The 20134-nt window shown below is 40.1% G+C and overlaps 1 annotated feature.

Annotated features, from left to right (window-relative positions):
- Positions 16722 to 17921: an enhancer, noted in NCBI's record as "MED14-independent group 3 enhancer chr8:66419280-66420479 (GRCh37/hg19 assembly coordinates)". NCBI's record gives its function as "activates an origin of replication core promoter dependent on BRD2, BRD4, P300/CBP and CDK7 cofactors, and independent of MED14, by STARR-seq in HCT116 cells {active_cell/tissue: HCT116}" and the evidence as "EXISTENCE:reporter gene assay evidence [ECO:0000049][PMID:35650434]".

Raw genomic sequence — 20134 nt, 5'->3', positions numbered from 1 at the left:
TTGAAAAAAGGCTGATTCGACAGGGGCTAAAGGAGAGAGACTAGTTAGGAGGTTACTGAACTAATCCAGAAGGGAGACGACTGTTGCATCAAAATGGAGACCGTGGGGATAACGAAAAGTACTTGAGCTTTTGATGAATTTTATTTTGAAGGTACTACTGATAGGATTTGCAGATGGTAGGACCAGATGTAGGAGTTGGGAAAAAAAGGGGGGAGGTGAGTTTTTAGGCTAGAGTGATTGGAAGGATAGAGTTACTTTCAATGAGATGCAGAAGACTATAGGTGAAGGAATTGTTTTGGAAGAATCTCAAGAGCTCATTTTGGCCATATTGACCTTGAGATGCTTATTAGGCATCGATTGTTGATATCAAGTAGGCAACTGGATATACAGGTTTGGAGTTCAGGGGAGAGGTTCAGGTTATAGATATACATTTGGGGCAAAAGGATATATTTAAGATCATGTGACCAGATGAGAGAAAATAGAGAATGAATATAGATAGAATAAGACCAAGAACGGAGCTCTAGGGCTTTCCAACATTCCAAGATTGGGGAGATTGAAATCTCTAGAGTTTCCTTAGAATAGAAGAGTTGAGTAAAAAAAAATATCTGGGACAAAAGAGATTTATTTTTTTAATTTTAAATTGTATTTATTTTCTAATTGACAAATAAAAATTGCACGTATTTGTGGTATACTACATGATGTTTTAATTTATGTATACATTGTGGAAAGGCTAAATCAAGCTAATTAACATGTCCATTACCTCACATGTTTCTCATTTATTGTGGTGAGAACATTTAAAATCTACTCCTAGCAATTTTTAGGTATATAATACATTATTATGAATTATAGTCATTATTTGTACAATAGATCTCCTGAGTTTATTTCTCCCATTCTACAGAAATTTTGTATTGTTTGACTAACATCTTCCTAATCCATCTAGCCCCCAGGCTCTGATAACTATCATTCTACTCTGTGCTTCCTTGAGTTTGAATTTTTGGAGTCCACATATAAGTAAGATAATGCAGGAATTGTCTTTCTGTGCCTGGCTTATTTCACCTAACATAATGTCTGGCAGGTTTATCCATGTTGTCATCAATGATAGGATTTCCTTCTTTTTGAAGGCTGACTAGTACTCCATTTTGTATATATGCCACATTTTCTTTATTCATTCATCTGTTGATGGACACTTAGATTGATTTCATATATTGGCTATTGTGAACAATGCTGAAATGAACGAAGGAGTGCAGATATCTCTTTGATATGCTGATTTTTATAGTTTTTGAATATACACCTAGCAGTAGGATTGCTGGGTTTTATGATAGTGCTGTTTTCAATTTTTTTGAGGAAACTCCCTACTGAGTTGCATAAGGATTGTACTAATTTACATTCCCACTAACAGTGTACAAGTGTTCCCTTTACTCCACATCCTCACCAACACTTGTTATGTATCTTTTATCTGCAAAAGAAATTTAGAAGAAACAGTCAAAAGCAGGGGTAAAACCTGGAGCATGCGGTGTTTGAATCACTGGTGACGTTAAATAGTTTCAGTGAATCAGTAGGAGTGAAAACTGGTATGTACTCAAGAGAAAATGAGAATGGAGAAATAGGAAGAAACAGAGTACTATCATCAAAAATAGCAAACAGAGAGGGTGACTTTCTAAAAGAAAATAATGTCTATTTGGGAATGGGCATTGCAAGGCATATGCATACTTCAGTAAACTATGTGTGTATTCAGGGAGGTAAAGAAAGAGAAAGCTTTTTAAAAGAAAAAAAGAGGAGGATTATATAATTCCTCTGAGATAATTATCTTTGGCTGCAAAGATCAATAGCAAGGATGGTGTCAGCCCAATGTTGGACAGGCAGTTGCTGGGCATATGTCCTCGAAGAAGTATTTTTTATGTGTTAGATTGTGATGGACTTTGTGCAAGGTTGTGTTTCAGTCTTTGATGGTAGTTTTGTTATCAGGCATTTGTGCATAAGAACTCTCCCTTCATGACCTTTCCTGGCTGTTTTTCAGGTTTTTTTTTTTTTTACACAAGTGACTCCATTTTGATTCTGACAACTTTCACAGTACCAACAACTATTTCAAGAAGTTTTACTATAAATAGAAGGAAAGAAAAATAGTAGCAGCTGAAAAAGAGAATTGAAGTCAAAAGAAATTAAAAGAATAAAGGAGAAATATCTGCAGGTTTGCATGGTGATGGAAATAATCTAGTAGGAAACATCTAGGGAATATTGATGATGCAGGAGAGAGGGAAATACTTGCTGCAGAAATAACTGTGTATGAAACATGAACTTGGGCTTAGGGAACAGACGTAATTTGAAGAAACCTGAGAGAAGTTAGAGCACATATGAACACATGAAAGTAAGCGGGAAGATGTGATCGTGGCAGTTTGCACATATATCTCAAGGCATCTTTTTTTTTTTTTGAGACGAAGTTTCGCTCTTGTTGCCCAGGCTGGAGTGCAATGGCGCGATCTCACTTCACCACAACCTCTGCCTTCTGGGTTCAAGCAATTCTGCCTCAGCCTCCTGAATAGCTAGGATTACAGGCATGCTCCACCATGCCCAGCTAATTTTGTATTTTTAGTAGAGATAGGGTTTCTCCATGTTGGTCAGTCTGGTCTTGATCTCCTGACCTCAGGTGATCTGCTCGCCTCCGCCTCCCCAAGTGCTGAGATTACAGACGTGAGCCACCATGCCCGGCCATCTCAAGGCATCTTAACATTTATTTTCTGTTTATTTAGAAAAGTCCTTTATGAACCTCCTTAAGGACAAAGATTATCACTGCATTTTTGTACATGATCTCGTGCCTAATTTATAATAGCCATTCAACAAATGTTTCTTGAATGAATGAATAAAAATGAAAAACTCAATATTTATGGCTTTGAATATACACAAACTAAAAACTAGATTTTAAGCATGATAAGAAACAAAATGAAATCTCATATTTTTAGTCCTTCTTTATGAAGGTTAGAAGTTGTTAGCAAGATATAATGAAAGTTTTATTCTCGAAATAAAAGTTTTTATGATCACCAAAGAACATTTTGATAAGCATTAACTTTTAAAAAAATAACAGCTTTGTTGAAATATGTTGGCCAGGTGCGGTGGCTTATGCCTGTAATCCCAGCACTTTGGGAGGCCGAGGAGGGCGGATCACGAGGTCAGGAGTTCAAGACCAGCCTGGCCAATAGGGTGAAACCCTGTCTCTACTAAAAATACAAAAAATTAGCTGAGTGTGGTGGCCCACGCCTGTAGTCCCAGCTACTTTGGAGGCTGAGGCAGGAGAATCGCTTGAACCTGGGAGGCGGAGGTTGTAGTCAGCTGAGACCACGCCACTGTACTCGAGCCTGGGCAACAGAGTGAGACTCCACCTCAAAAAAAAAAAAAAAAAAAAGAAATAGATCATATACCATAAAGTGTACCCTTTTAAATATACAATTCAATGGTTTGTAGTATTTTCACAGAGCTGCGCATCCATTATCTCTATCTAATCCAGAATATTTTCATAATCTCAAAAAGAAACCCCATAGCCATAGCAGTCATTCACCTTCCCCTAGCCCCTGGCAACCACCAATCTACTTTCTATCTCTACGTGTTTGCATATTCTGGAAATTTCACAAAAATGAAATTATACACTATGTGGCTTTTTGTGTATGGCTTCTTTAACTTAGCATAACATTTCTAAAGTTCACCCATGTTGTACCCATTTTTGCGAGGACATATGTCTTTAATTCTCAGCTCATTACAGCATCACCCCAAACTCCACAATCTCATCTACATCTTATTAGCTCAACCATTCTAAATTTGATTATCTAAATAATCTAAATCAGGTATGGGTGAGGGTCTGGTGGTAATCCATCCTGGGGCAAAATTAATCTCCATCTATCGACCTGTGAAACTAGAAAACAAATGATCTGCATACAAGATGCAATAGTGGGACTGGCATAGGATAGCAGTTTTAGACATTTCTGTTCAAAAAGAGAAGCCATGGAATAAAAAAAAGGAGCCACTAGACCCAAGTAATTAAAAAATTCAACGAGTTGGGTGGATCACGAGGTCAGGAGATCGAGACCATCCTGGCTAACACGGTGAAACCCCGTCTCTACTAAAAATACAACAAAGTAGCAGGGCGTGGTGGGTGCCTGTAGTCCCAGCTACTCGGGAGGCTGAGGCAGGAGAATCACTTGAACCTGGGAGGCAGAGGTTGCAGTAAGCTGAGATCAAGCCACTGCACTCCATCCTGGGCAACAGAGCAAGACACCATCTCAAAAAAAAAAAAAAAAAAAACCAAAAGAAATTCAATGAGAAAACTTTATTGGGTTTCAAGGCCTGAGAATACCTGTCTGTAGCTTGGGTCCTACTCTCTAGGCTCTCAGCTCTGAGTTACCTCTTCTTTTTCAGAAAAAGTAGCACATTTTTGCAACTGAGTAGTTTTATCAGTTTCCTGCCTGTAGACTTTTGGTTGTCCAACAGCCATCTTTCATTTTGTACTCTATTTGTCCTTTTAGATCTAAGATGGCAATGTTTCTGCTCGTATTTAAAATTCTCAAGAACCTTGTAGGTCTCCAGTATATGTCACATGCACTGGAGATTCACTCCATTAGACAAGAGGTCCTCCAAAATCTTTCTTAGACAATCTCATCTTTATTTTTGGCTTCTCCTGAGAAGGCTGAAGAGATGTATTAGTCACACACTTAATCTTTTTTGTGACATATGACTAAATACCTTGACCTTTTGATGGTTTTGAGGTATTAGCAAAAGTTTATGCATCCACATGCTCAGCTTTTTTTTCTCTACTGCCAGTGAAAGTCTTAAATTTTAGCATCAATTGCAATCCAGAAAGGCTGAAAATCCCCCAAACCAGCAAGTCCTGGTTAACTGGTTACATTTTTGCTGAACAGTTTTTCCTCTAAACCTACCAACAGTCTGTTAATGATTACTGAGCGACTTTCTTTTCTTTTCTTTTTTTTTTTTTTGAGACGGAGTCTCGCTCTGTTGCCTGGGCTGGAGTGCAATGGCACGATCTTGGCTTACTGCAACCTTCGCCTCTGGGTTCAAGTGATTCTTCTGCCTCAACCTCCTGAGTAACTGGGATTACAGGCACCTGCCATCATGTCCTGCTAATTTTTATACTTTCCTAGTGGTGAGGTTTCACCATGTTAGCCAGGCCTATATTGAACTCCTGACCTCAGATGATCCACCCGCCTCGGCCTCCCAAAGTGCTGGGATAACAGGCGTGAGCCACTGTGCCCAGCCTCCTGAGCAACTTTCTAAGGTGATATATGCTTTCTCTACCATGCTCCCCTATTTCCTTCTCAGGCTTCACTGACAGCGTCATTAATGTCCATATTTCTTGAACAGACTCTCATCTGTTCATGGGAATCTAGGATTTTTCTATTGTTCTCCTCAAAATGTTTCCAGCCTTTGTCCACTGCCCAAGCCAAAAGTCACTTCCACACTTTCAGGTATTTGTTACATCAGCACCTCACTCTCATTACCAAAATCTGTAATTGGCTTTTAAAAAATGTAAAAGATTGCTTTAATCATTTTTATATTGATTCCTTATTGAAATAATATTTTTGATATATTGGGTAAAATACAAAATATATGTATATTTTTTGAGATGAGGTCTCACTCTGTTGCCCAGGCTGGAGTGCAGTGGAACAGATCACAGCTCCCTGTGGCCTCGACCTCCCTGACTCAGGTGATCCTCCCACCTCAGCCTCCTGAGTATCTGAGATCACAGGTGTGCACCACCATGCCTGGTTAATTTTTGTATTTTTTGTAGAGACTGGGTTTCACCATGTTGCCCAGGCTGGTCTCCAACTCCTGGGCTCAAGTGATCTGCCTGCTTCAGCTTCCCAGAGTGCTGGGCTTACAGGTGTGAGCCCTGCCATAAAATATATTAGCAAAATTAATTTTACTTTTTACTTAAATTTTTTTTACTGATACATAATGATTGTACATATTAATGGGGTACACATGATCTTTTGACACATACATGTAATGTGTAGTGATCAAATCAGGGTATTTGGGATATCCATCACCTCAGATGCTTATTATTTCTTTGAGTTGGGAACATTTCACATCTTCTAGCTATTTTGAAATATATAATGAATTATTGTTAACTATCGTCACCCTACTGTGCTATTGAATAGAACTTATGCCTTTTATTTAACTATATGTTGGTACCCATTAACCAACTCACATCCTTCCCAGCCTCTGGTAAGCATCATTCTACTCTTTACTTCCGTGAGATCAGCTTTTTCAGCTCCCACATATGAGTGAGAACATGTGATGTTTGTCTTTCTGTGCCTGGCTTATTCATAACAGGTTTTCTGTTGTTGCTGTAATGGGTTACCACACACTTAGCGGTGTAAAACAATACGAATTTATCATCTGTGGGTCTGAAGGTTAGGCGTCTGACACAGGTCTCATTGGGCTGTAATAAGTGTCAGCAGCCTGACAGGGCTTATGGGAGAATCTGTTTCCTTGCATTTTTTTCAGCCTCTAGAGGCTGCCCACATTCCTTGGCTTTTGGCTTCTTTCTTTCACCATCAAAGCCAACAACAGGAGGTTGAGTTCTTCTCACATTGCATCACTCTGACCACTTCTTTTGTTCTCCTTCTTGCTTTTAAGAACTTTTATAATTACATTGTTTCATGTAATTCAGGAAAATGTATTTTAAAGTCTTGGTCTATTAAGTCTAACATCTGGGCTTTCTTAGGAAGAGCATCTATTACTAATTTTTAAAAACGTATGTCATACTTTCCCATTCTTTGCATATCTTGTAGCTTTTTGTTGTTGTTGTTGAAATCTGGCAATTGAAATTATATAATGCAACAAATTTGGAAATCACATTCCTCTTCACTCCTCTCCCATCCCCCAAGAGTTTTTGTTGTTCCTATTGGTTTGTTTATTAACTGATGTTTCTGGGCTAGTATTCTGTAAAGTCTGTGTAAAGTCTATAAGGGTGTATGTGGCCACTGAAGTCTTTGCTTGATTAGCTTAGTGATCATCTAATGATTAGACAGATTTACTTAATTACTTTGAGCCAATAAGGCTCTCAGCCTTTGCTGAAGAACTCTCTTTGTGTGTGTGTGTGTGTGTATTTGTGTTTGAACACACCCTCAATGCCATGAAAGGTTATTTACAAGTCTGCCTTAGCCTTCACTTTCTGCATGAGGAGGGCTTCAATGTCAGCAGGGGTGAGAGATCATGGTCTTCTTAGATCTTTCTGGGCATGTGTGCAGTCCTGGTTTATGCACATAGACCTGCTCATTTACATGACTTTCTTGACTCTCAGGAATATTTTACGCTTTCAAAGTCTGTATGGGCATCTCATTTCCTGATTTTTCCTTTTATGTTTTCTTGGTCAGCCTCTTTTTAGCCACAGTTGCAATGCTGCCTCAGGCAGCCACTACGTTAAACAATTGTCATTGATTGTTTTTGACAAATGCCTTGTAGATAGGGCTGCTTGCACAGAGTGAGCTCTGAGTCATGTCAAATAAAGAAAGTCCAAGAGTGGAGCTTTTCAGTCAGCTCTCAGAAGGTCAAATAGTGACAAGTGTCTGGGGATGAAGTTTTGTGGGAGTTCCAAGCACACATTGCTTCCTCCAGTGGCTGCAAGATTGCTGTTTTTCATTTTTCACAGCTAGCATGGAGTTTTTATTCTCATGATTTCCATCTTGCAGCTTTCTTTAAGAATTAGAGAGGGGCTAAAAAGTGAAATTGTCGTTTATTATCTTAAGGAAAAAAACAATAAAAAGGAGAGATTATGTCTCCTTAAAAATGAGGACTTGTTCACAAAGAATTTTATTAAAAACAGAAAGGTTAAGTGCCATCTGTCACTTCCACTCACCACCAAAAACAATGGTGATTTCTCCACAGTGTTGGGAAAATGACTCTCCATGAATTTCAGAGGATCCTTGTTCAGGCAGATCCAACTCCCTTCATGTTGATTCAGGCACAGAAATTGTCTAGTTTCATTTTATTTCATAACAGCACTTAGGTTTGCTCTACAGTAGGTAAGTTAAATGCCTTAAACTGAGATTAACTTGCTATTCCTGAATTGGAAATTACAAAAGTAGCCTGAGTATGTCAGAGGGCCCCTGCAACTGGATTTTTATCTTTGCCATGTAAATTTGGTTATGCCAACCTCTAGGTTCTAGGCTGTAGAGCAAAATTTTCAGCCATCATCATCCTTGCATTTTCTGAAACTCAGTAGAGAACAAAAAAAAACACACACAACAGAAGACAAGCAAAGGAGAGCTGTGGTGGCTCACACCTGTAATTCCAGTACTTTGGGAGGCTAAGGTGAAGGATCATTTGAGGCCAGGAGTTTGAGACCAGCCTGGGCAACATAGCAAGACCCAGTCTATAAAAAGTAAATAAATAAATAATCCACGTGTGCTGGCACATGCCTGTAGTCCCAGCTACTTGGGACAATGACATGGGAGGATTGCTTGACCCAGGAGTCTGAGGCTGCAGTGAAGTATGTAACTGTGACACTGCACTCCAGCCTGGGCAACAGAGCCAGGTCCTAGCAAAAAAACCAAACAAATAAACAACAACCCCCACCACCCAATATATATCAACCGAAAAGCCACAAGGATAGAAATGTGAATTTTATAAAAATAAAGCTAGAATTACCAATAATTCCTTTTATTCTAGTGCTAGTTTCATGGAACTTGGGATTTAATTCAAAATAATATGATTCAATTTTTCATGTTTTCTCATATATATATATATATATATTTTTTTTCTTTTCTTTATATTTAAATGTGAATGGCCCACTTAGTTGAATAGAAGATAGTGTCATTGAATGCCTGGTATCTTGAGTTGAATATGATATCTCAGCTTTAATCAGTGATTAAACTTTTTAGTTGGTCAAAGCCAAAAGAAATTATATCCATAATTTCAATATTATTTCAGACTTTTTTAAACATGAGGAAAATAAACTGATTGTTTTGCTTATTTTCCTTTGTCTATTCCTTTGGTGTTACTTAAAATCTTTTAAGATTAGAATGTCTGAGTATTAATAAAAAGTTTCCTTGATGGAGTTACTGATAAATAGTAACATGGTTGAAAATTGGCATTTTTGGTAGAAAGAAGGAGTCACAATCTCTTCGACTATCTAATCCAATCTGGGGCCTGGGCAGCCAGTTATGTTTCATTGTCCTAGGAACCTTAGCAGATCTAAAGGCTAAAGCAGGTTTTTAAAAAATTTACTGTCACACAGGGATTTGTCCCACTGAAGCTTGGAGTTTCTTTCTCATTCTTGGTGCAGCTTTGTACAAAACTCACTACCTGATCAGATAAATATTTGCCTACGTATTAAGGTGACCAGCACTTTAGAAATATATAAGTCTACTTGGTTTACATGGCAGTGTATCACCATCAGTGTTGATGGTAGTTTTGGTTATGTAGAAATCCATACATACATTTTCTCCTCCCCAGCCTCTCTGTAGGAAGCACATGAATGTGGTGGCTGGTTTATGGAGTGGGGAATATCCGTTAGTCTCTGGTGGCTTGAGACAACATAAATGATTCCTTAGAGCAGTGAGATGGAAAACTAGAAATCTAACTAGCTATACTCCAGACAGGTACTAGACCTCCTCTTGTAATTAACGTGCAAGGGGGAAGCATTGCTCCTTGTGAGGTTTGATGGCCTCTCTGCATCACTAGTTCATTGGGTGTGAATGATGTCGGCTTGTTTATCTGGAAATCTGGAAGTTTGCCTTTGTCTTATCTTTACACCTCATCGCCCCTCCATCTCTTTTTCAAATCTCATTTAAAAGGTATTTAGATATTTTCTCCTTGCCCATCTTTCTTAATTTTACTCTGCCTCTTGATGGCCTTGTGATTCCAATGTCTAACATTATTTTTTCCAGGGTGTCTGCCACTCTTCTTCAACTCAAACCTCGCTATAAAACATCTGCAAATTTTGCTCATGAAACTCAGCCTAGTGCATGGGAATGTAGTTGCCTAAATTAGTCCAGGACAGTGAATTATTTCTAGAATATAAATTGGTCACTTATGAAATTGCATTAATTCAGTTACTGATAGGCTTATAAGCTAAACTATTAGCCCGGTGTAGCAATGCACTTAGAACTTAGGGAATATTTATAGAATAAAATACAGAAATGATGTTCTGAAATAAAATTGTCATTTAAGAGAATGCTCCCTCTTTTTATAGTAAGAAGTTATTTTAGCCAGAAGAGTATGTAAGCACTAAAGAGATCTAGGATTTTGGAGGATTGCTGGTTACCTAGAAGGGTGAAAAGGGGTTTAGAAAATTATAAGATTTCCTGGCACAAAATTGAAGGGAGTATAACAGTACTTGACAATATTTAAATCTCTTGTAAGGCCGGGTGTGGTGGCTCAGGCCTGTAATCCCAACACTTCGGGAGTCTGAGGCGGGTGGATCAACTGAGGTCAGGAGTTCAAGACCACCTTGGCCAACATGGTGAAACCCTGTCTCTACTAAAAATATAAAAATTAGCCGGGCATGGTGGTGTGTGCCTATATTCTCAGCTTCTCTGGAGGCTGAGGCAGGAGAATTGCTTGAACCAGGGAGGCAGAAGTTGCAGTGGGCTAAGATTGCACCACTGTACTCCAGCCTGTGTGACAGAGTGAGACTCTGTCTCAAAACAAAAAACAAAAAAACAAAATTCTTGTAGCTTCTGTATATTTCCTTTCCTTGCTAAAAAGACTGAGGGACAGGTATTCAGGAAGGGGACCATGAGCAGTCACACCTCCACTCTCTGTAGCCCAAGGGCATTTGGAAGTTTGCTGAGATAAACTTCATGTCAGCTTTATCAAGTGTCTGAATTCCACTGGATCTAGACTCAGGGCAGTCAATTAGTTTCAGTTGACCTACTGGAGATCCTTTTCCTTAGTGCTGAGCTTCAGTCACAAAGTAGAACAGAGACACTTGCAGGATCTACACCAGCATCATTGGCATCGTCGGGAGGTACACTTCGAAGTAGGATATGATTTTGCCCAAGTCTGCAATTCTTACGTATGAACGACTTTTTTTTTTCAAAGAAAGTATTATTTCTTGTGCCAGCCTTTTCTCACCAATAGTGGTCTAGCTAGACCTCTCAGATATGTGGTAGTTAATCTAGACCAAAAAGTAGGGGAGCATGTCTTTTTCTGTTGCGAGTGGGCTGAGCATCTCAGTTTCTGGGCTACCTTCAAAGTTTGTGAATGCCAACATGTTTGTCTGTATTATTCTTGGCAATATTGGTCCTGGAGAGAGCACTTCTTGGATGGATGCTGCACTGCAGGAAATGAAGGTTTCTGGCCAATGTGATACCATTCCAAGGAGCTCTGCCTTCCAGGGAGAGGCTTTCTGTGAAATGCACCATGCCACTGCTTTGAGATATGTGTATCAGTCTCTCAAGGAGTCTGATCGTGATCTAGTGGCTAGAAGCAAAGCTTTAAGGGCAGATGACAGAGCACAACAGATTTTCCTCCACATCCATACCATTTGCAAAAATGTTTCAGAACTTAGGATCTGGAAGCTTGTCTATCAATATTCCCCAGAGAAAGAAGGCACAGCTTTAAGTTAGGCTTGCTTCAAATTGTCTTTTCTTTGATGCTTAGATTTTCTTTAGATCTAAAGATATGCTGTCATGGCTTCCCAAATCTGTTGAGCTCCAGGATGCTACGAGGCCTCCCTAAGGGTTTCTGGAATGATGGTTTGCCAGGACTGATACTGAATCTTTGCCTACTCCATTATCTGTAGATCTTACCCTCATCGCTGTTTTCAGGGAAGGGATTTTAAGTCATAACTCCCTACCTTCAGAATAACACAATAAATTGAGCTGGATATATTTGTTCTTTTCCTCTTTTGGTCAACATTTACTAAGGCCTATTGTGTGAAAATAGAAGTACATGAATTTTCTTCTGCCTGCCTGATAGAGTGTTTTGTGCTTTTAATAAGTCAGTCACCCATTGGTACCTGGGTTTGCTTCAGAAAGGGGAAGGTCATTTTCCTCACAGCAATGGTGTAAAGGGCTCATCCTTTAAGACAACCTAGTTGCTGGGCCATAGCTGCTTTCTCATGCTGCTTCATCTAGGGTGGTTTTTCCCTTATAAATGGGATAAGCTTTCATGAGTTAAAACTATTTCCCAATGGTCTGCCTCGTCTCCTCAGAGTATCTTTCAGTTCAGTGCCCTTAGGTGATGATGACTATGCCTGGATATGAAAGTTTTTGGTTGAGGCTGAATAAGCTCACTCTAAGACAGATGATCAGTCTGTAGAAATGTAATAGAAAATCCATTCAGTGCCTCATCAGCCTCAGGTTGATGATGTGATTCCACTTCAGGTGCTTTGTCTTCAGTGTAAACTTTTTCACCTGTTACTTTGAAGACGAAATGATGGTTTCAAATTGGATTTAGGATGCTGATGGAAACCAGCACCTACTTCATTGCTCCTGGAGGTCTGCACACTTGTTATTCTTGTCAGCTTGAGAAAAGGCTATCTTTTACCTCCTCGAGCCCCTTTTTGGTGAAGATTTCCCTTCTAGTCACTGTTGATTCCTTTTCCTTAAGGTCCACAGGCTAAATCCTTTAGTTGTTGTGATAGGTCAGGGCTATTTCTGAACTCGTCTCTTCCTTCCTTTCCTTTCTTGCCCTCCCACCTTCCTCATTGTGTTCTGAGGGGAAGACCTCAGGTGTATTTGATCAGCAACTGCATTTTCTTTTCTTTCTTTTCTTTTTTTTTTCTTTTTTGGCTTCTGCTTCTGCTTCTTCTTCTTCTTCTCCTTCTCCTTCTTCTTTCTTCTTTCTTCTTCTTTTTTTTAAGTAGCAACAGGGTCTTGCTATATTGCCTAGGCTGGTCTTGAACTACTGAGCTCGAGCAATCCTCCCACCTTGGCTCCCAAAATGCTGGGATTACAGATGTGAGCCACTGCACTTGGCCAGCATCTACATTTTCAATGTGAGTCACCAGTATCCTTTTAAAATGCTCCTTTTAAAATGGATGTTTCCATATAGATAGGTGCAAAGCTGATGTGCAGCCAGTATACACAGGTATGCCCAAACTAGTGGTTAAAATATTGAAAAATGTCTGGATTGATCGGTAAGTGGTCCCTTTCTTGAGACCCTGGGTACCCACTCTGCTGCCTGGGCTAATTTGGCCCCTAACCCAAAGCCTTCCTTGGAACTCCCTACAAAGGGAGCTCGGACCCTGCTTCAGGGCGGTGACATCCGGAATCCATAGTGGTTGGCCAGTGCCTAGTTATTAACTATTTGGAACATCACCCTTGGTTATGAGTCAGATTTTATTGGCAGAGCTTTCTAGTCCTTCATGCCTATACTTCTTCTGGGGACTAAAATACTTGGCTGAGAAGCTTGACTTTCAGGATTAGATGTCTACTGACTTCTGGAAATGAAGGTAAGTGTCATATTAGAAAATAAAATTTGAATCCATGTAAATCCCATAGTAACCCAAAACAATTTCCCAGTCTTGGGCTAAAATCTTCATGATTTGCTTGATGTGTTCCAATCCCCCTTTTCCCCAAGGCAGTATTTGGAGTCAACTCAGCTTTTGTAAGTTTTGGGAAATGAATGATTGCATATTTAAGAATATTTACCTCCAGGTCATTAAGAAAAAGTCCTAATCTTCTTGAGTGCTTTTTTTTTTTTTTTTTGGTGGTGTTGGGGGAAGGCTTTTCAGTTATCACCTCTTTGTTTAGTGGTTTGGCAGGAGGAGATGGACTTAACCAGCTTCCAGGAATTAACATTTGTCTTTTCAAATTAAAAAATTTGTCCTCTGTTTGGTATTTTAAAAATGTGTTTCAACTTGTACTGTACATAGGAGCTCTGGAGTGAAATTTTTAGAGCTCTGAAAACAAATGGAATGAACTTGCTTTTGTGTGTCAATATGTGGGTTTATGGACAGGAATGGATGGGCGCATGCCCGTGGCAGGCCCATTCATTTCTCTCATGTTTGAAAGCTTCACTCTGAAATGCCTTTAATGGAAGATGATTGTGTAATATAGAGGTGGTTGTTCACTGTACCAGCACTGATGTGCTGCATTTTGACCAAATGACTAACTTTGCAAATAGACTATTTATGTTGAGTAGGAGCAAAGCTTCTCTACCAAAGTGCATTTTTAATGATCTACTTTAAGAGTAAGTGGGTTTAGAAGTAGCTGCCCAGGAATCTGATTGGCTGGCACCAATGCCACTTCCCATAATTACCCAGTAAACCATAAGGGCTTTGTTGGCACATTTGTTCAAGTCTGTCATGTTTGACCAGCTGCCACCCAGCATTCTAAGTCCACTTCTAATATCCTCTTTAAAATCTTTGTGGAGAAATTTGGTGCCTACACACCTTTGAAAAATCTTAGTGGAGAAATTTGGTATTGATGCACTACAAATTTCATAATGAAACGCTGTGCTATTTTTTTGTAAGTTGGTAATGTTTTCCCTAAATAGCTAAAATTATAAAAATCAAGATCTGGAGTAAGCTATATCAAGTTTTGAAAAATGCTTCACTTCTTAGTACATTTAGGATTTTCACTGAAAATATAGATGTTATCTAACCTAAAAGATCCAAATCACAAATTCTGTCTTAAAACTAATGCTTGAAACTTGTGGAAACAATACACTTAAAAAAATTAAAGAAATAAAAAAAAAGGTAAATTGTGTCCCGGAGGTAGGAAGTAACCTGCTCAGTTTCTATGGTTAAAAAAACCGTATAACCATATAACTAATTTTATAAAACTATATAACCAATTTCATAATGTAAAAAATTAGAAAAGTATACACTAAGTACAATCACAGTGTTTTCTAATTTCTATATGAAGCATTTCAATTGTATTACAGACCAAGGATATTATAAACGGTTCTTACCCCATTTTGTGAGAAGAAAGAGGAAACTGTTGAAACTATAGTAAATATAGTGCATTCGGGAAAAAGCATTTCATTACACAGGAGTATAGAGATTTTGGATCTTTCAGTCATACCTGAAGATCTTTCTATTAAGATCTTAGGTGTATTTTTTATTGACTGGAGGGTGAGTAAATGACATTGTCGGTGGGTTCTGCCACTTGTTGTTGACAGCTACAGTAATTTAACTTATTTTCCCAGAATACAGTGTCACTGTCTACATTATCATGTAATTAAGTGTAACATGGGAACAGTGATATACTGAATAAAGCATGTTGCTATACACTGAAAAGCTAAAAGAAATCAGCTCTTACAATGGCTGTGTGGGCCTTCCAGAAAGGAATAGCTTCACTTTCAAGAAACTATCACAGAGTGAATCTTTGTATCAGTGTAAAATATTTCTGCAGCAGAATATTGACTCTATGGGGAAGAAAATATTGGCAATGAGCTAAAATGAAATAGAAGAAATTAAATGCACTTGACAGAAATTGGCTGAAGAAAATTCAGGAGATGCGATAGCAACAGAGCACAAGAAAATAACACAATTAAGGACACATTAGCCATATGCCTCTATTATATTGAGAACACAGCAATATAAATGACCAGGTGATGACCTTCAACCTAAACTGGAAGGTGTCTGACAAAGTCCATGTTGGTTTGGAAACTAAAGGTGGAAAATGAGATTAAATACTAAAGAGCATGGGATGGTAGTGATCTGCAACTTGGCGCTGATGTGAGGATTTGATAAGTTAAAGCTCAATACGATGCAATGCTGGAAAAGATGGTGTGGGTATATCATATGGATCTTTTGCCATCTGTACTTTATGTCAGCAAATATTTATTTATTTATTTATTTATTTATTTATTTTGAGACGGAGTCTCACTCTGTCGCCAGGCTGGAGTGCAGTGGTGCGATCTCAGCTCACTGCAACCTCCACCTCCCAGGTTCAAGCGGTTCTCCTGCCTCAGCCTCCCGAGTAGCTCGGACTACAGGCGTGTGCCGCCAAACCCAGCTAATTTTTGTATTTTTTAGTAGAGATGGGGTTTCATGATGTTGGCCAGGATGGTCTCGATCTCTTGACCTCGTGACCTGCCTGCCTTGGCTTCCCAAAGTGCTGGGATTACAGGCATGAGCCACTGCACCCAGCCTGCCAGCAAATATTTATATGTGGTACACGTTAATACACCAGAATAAGAAAGCCTTTTAAGTCAAGGGTGAACACTCTTCCACAGCCACTGCATCTGGTGCATACTGCAACAACAACCCTAGTCAAATGGCTCTGTAATTATTGGTTTCCATGTCTCTCTCCTGTCCAGCCTCTGATCTTCTACTAGGCAGGCACTGTGTCCTCAGAATCCTGCCTAGTGCCAAACATACTGTGGTCCCTGAACCAATGGCTCTCACAGTGATTTTGTATCTGAGACTGGGTGTCTGAAAAGGCAGATGGTCTGGTTCTTTAGGAGCCTTCTCCACACCTCACATATATTTTGTTTCTTTTTCATGGGCTTCTCTTAAGGTAGGGTTTGGTCATAAAACTGTGTGGCTTTCTCTTATACCCACCAGATTCACGTTTGCTCTAAGGTTGTTGCCAAACTGTCCATACAGCTAAAGTAAATATATGGTGAAGAAGGAAAAGAAGGAAGAAAGGATAAATGAAGGCATTTAATTTTAAGAACTAAAATCCCAACAAATATTCTATTAGTAGAGGCAGGGTGAAGAATTTAATTATTAATCTATTTATAAATGTTTATAGAATTATAGGTTAGATAAGTCCTGTAGAAAAATTTAAGACCAGCTTTCTTTTCTGACTGTTTGGATCATCATGGCAGACGGGAGGCAGGACTAGATTGCAGCTCTAGACAGAGCAGCCTGCGGGGCTCGCATCGTGAATTTTAGCTCCAGATTGACTGCAAGAACAAATCAGCAATCCTAGAGGACCCACAGACCCTCTGAAGGAAGCAGACTGCTCCTGCAGGCCCTGGGAGAGCCCCCCAAAACTGTGAGTGCCCCAACTGAGGAAGTGGGAAAGGGAGACCCTCCTCTCCTGAACACACACCCCCACTGGAGAAGCTGAAGGTCTGTTTGTGGGAGAAGTTTCCGATTTTACCTGCAGCTGAGTCAATTTGGAGAGCCGAGTGAAATACAGGGGTAGAGGAAGCAGCAGAAAGGTCCTGGGAGCTCACTGGGTCCCCAAGCAGCCCATTCCTGCCTGGCACCACAGGGATCCAACAGGAGAGGAGCAGGGGGTAAAACTCCACAGGGAGAAGGAAATCTCTAGCTGAACTCTAACAATTTGAACAGGGTGAGAAGCCTCTTGGCCAGAACTCGGGGGAGGGTGCAAATCTGGTGTGCAGACTCCACAAGTGGTGGAAGAACCAAGCCCTTTCTTTTGCAGCTGGTAGGTGGGTAGCCTGGGGCAGGTTTTCAAGCCTCTGTGGCTCTCCACCTGGAAATGGACTGGGGGCTGTTGGGGGCAGCACGTTGGGAGTGAGACCAGCCCTTTGGTTTGCGTGGGAGCTGGGTGAGGCCTGTGACTGCCAGCTTTCTGCCACTTCCCTGTCAACCTGCATGACTCAGCAGAGGCAGCCATAATCTTCCTAGGTACACAACTCCAGTGACCTGGGACTCTCACCTCCATCCCCCACAGCAGCCCCAGCAAGACCTGCCCAAGGAGACTCTGAGTTCAGACATGCCTAGCCCTGCCCCCACCTGATGGTCCTTCCCTACTCACTCTGGTAGCAGAAGTAAAAGAGCACATAATCTTGGGAGTTTTAGGGCACTGCCCACCGCTGGTTCCTCCTCATACTACCACAGCTGATGCTCTCTAGAAAGTGCCATCTTCTGGCAGGAGGCCAACCAGCACAAAAATAGAGCATTAAACCACCAAAGCTAAGAAACCTCACGGGGACCATTGCACGCACCCCCCTCCACTGGAACAGGTGCTGGCATCCATGGCCAAGAGACCCATAGACAGTTCACATCACAGGACTCTGTGCAGACAACCCCCAGCACCAGCCTGGAGCTGGGTAGACTCACTGGGTGGCTAGACTCAGAAGAGAGACAACAATCACTGCAGTTAGGCTCACAGGAAGCCGCGTCCATAGGACAAGGGGGAGAGTACTACATCAAGGGTACACCTCATGAGACAAAAGAATCTGAACAACAGCCTTCAGCCCTAGACTTTCCCTCTGACAGAGCCTACCCAAATGAGAAGGAATCAGAAAACCAACTGTGGTAATATGACAACATGAGGCTCTTCAGCACTCCCCCAAAACCACACTAGTTCACCAGCAGTGGATCCAAACCAAGAAGAAATCCCTTATTTACCTGAAAAAAAAAAATTCAGGAGGTTAGCTATTAAGCTAATCAGGGAGGGACCAGAGAAAGGCAAAGCCCAATGCAAGGAAATCCAAAAAATGATACAAGAAGTGAAGGGGGAAATATTCAAGGAAATAGATAGCTTAAAGAAAAAACAATAAAAAATTCAGGAAACTTTGGACACACTTTTAGAAATGTGAAATGCTCTGGGAAGTCTCAGCAATAGAATTGAACTAGTAGAAGAAAAAACTTCAGAGCTCAAAGACAAGGTCTTCGAATTAACCCAATCCAACAAAGACAAAGAAAAAAGAATAAGAAAATATAAACAGGGCTGGGCACCGTGGCTCACGCCTGTAATCCCAGCACTTTGGGAGGCTGAGGTGGACAGATCACGAGGTCAGGAGTTTGAGACCAGCCTGGTCAATATGGTGAAACCCCGTCTTTACTAAAAATACAAAAATTAGCCGGGCATGGGGGTGCGCACCTGTAGTCCCAGGTACTCAGGAGGCTGAGGCAGAAGAATTGCTTGAACCCGGGAGGTGGAGGTTGCAGTGAGCAGAGATCGTGTCACTGCACTCCAGCCTGGGCGACAGAGCAAGACTCTGTCTCAAAACAAAACGAAAAAAGAAAATATAAACAAAGCCTCCAAGAAGTCTGGGATTATGTTAAATGACCAAACCTAAGAATAATTGGTGTTCCTGAGGAAGAAGAGAATTCTAAAAGCTTAGAAAACATATTTGGGGGAACAATTGAGGAAAACTTCCCTGGCCTTGCTAGATACCTAGACATCCAAATACAAGAAGCACAAAGAACAACTGGGAAATTCATCGCAAAAAGATCTTCACCTAGGCACATTGTCATCAGGTTATCCAAAATTAAGATGAAGAAAAGAATCTTAAGAGCTGTGAGACAGAAGCACCAGGTAACCTCTAAAGGAAAATCTATCAGATTAAGAGCAGATTTCTCGGCAGAAACCCTGCAAGCTAGAAGGTATTGGGGCCCTATCTTCAACTACCTCAAACAAAACAATTATCAGCCAAGAATTTTGTATCCAGTGAAACTAAGCATCATATATGAAAGAAAGATACAGTCTTTTTCAGACAAATGCTGAAAGAATTCTCTATTACCAAGCCACCACTACGAGAACTGTTAAAAGGAGCCCTAAATCTTGAAACAAATCCTGGCAACACATCAAAACAGAATCTCTTTAAAGCGTAAATTACACAGGACCTATAAAACAAAAATACAAGTTAAAAAGCAAAAGCAAAAAAAAAAAAAAAACTAAAATACACAGGCAACAAAGAGCATGATGAGTGCAAAGATACCTCACATTTTAATACTAATATTGAATGTAAGTGGCCTAAATGCTCCACTGGATAAGAACTCACCAGCCAACTATCTGCTGCCTTCAGGAGACTCACCTTGCTTAAGGTAACACAAATTTAGCTTAAGGTGACATAAACTAGCTTAAGGACTCACATAAACTTAAAGTAAAGGGCAGGGGGAAGGCATTTCATGCAGATGGACATCAAAAGTGAGCAGGGGTAGCTATTCTTATATTAGACAAAACAAACTTTAAAGCAATAGCAGTTAAAAGAGACAAAGAAGAACATTATATAATGGTAAAAGGCCTTGTCCAATAGGAAAATATTACAATCCTAAACATATGTGCACCTAACACTGGAGATCCCAAATTTATGAAATAATTACTAATAGACCTAAGAAATGAGATAGGCAGCAACACAATAATAGTGGGGGACTTCAGCACTCCACTGACAGCACTAGATAGGTCATCAAGACAGAAAGTCAACAAATAAACAATGGATTTAAACTATACCTTGGAACAAATGGACTTAACAGATATATACAGAACATTTCATCCAGCAACTGCAGAACACACATTCTATT

This window comes from Homo sapiens, chromosome 8 (assembly GCF_000001405.40).
Source record: "Homo sapiens chromosome 8, GRCh38.p14 Primary Assembly".
NCBI lineage: Eukaryota > Metazoa > Chordata > Mammalia > Primates > Hominidae > Homo > Homo sapiens.
The sequence above is the reverse complement of the archived record's forward strand: the minus strand, read 5'-3'. Positions and strand labels throughout refer to the sequence as shown.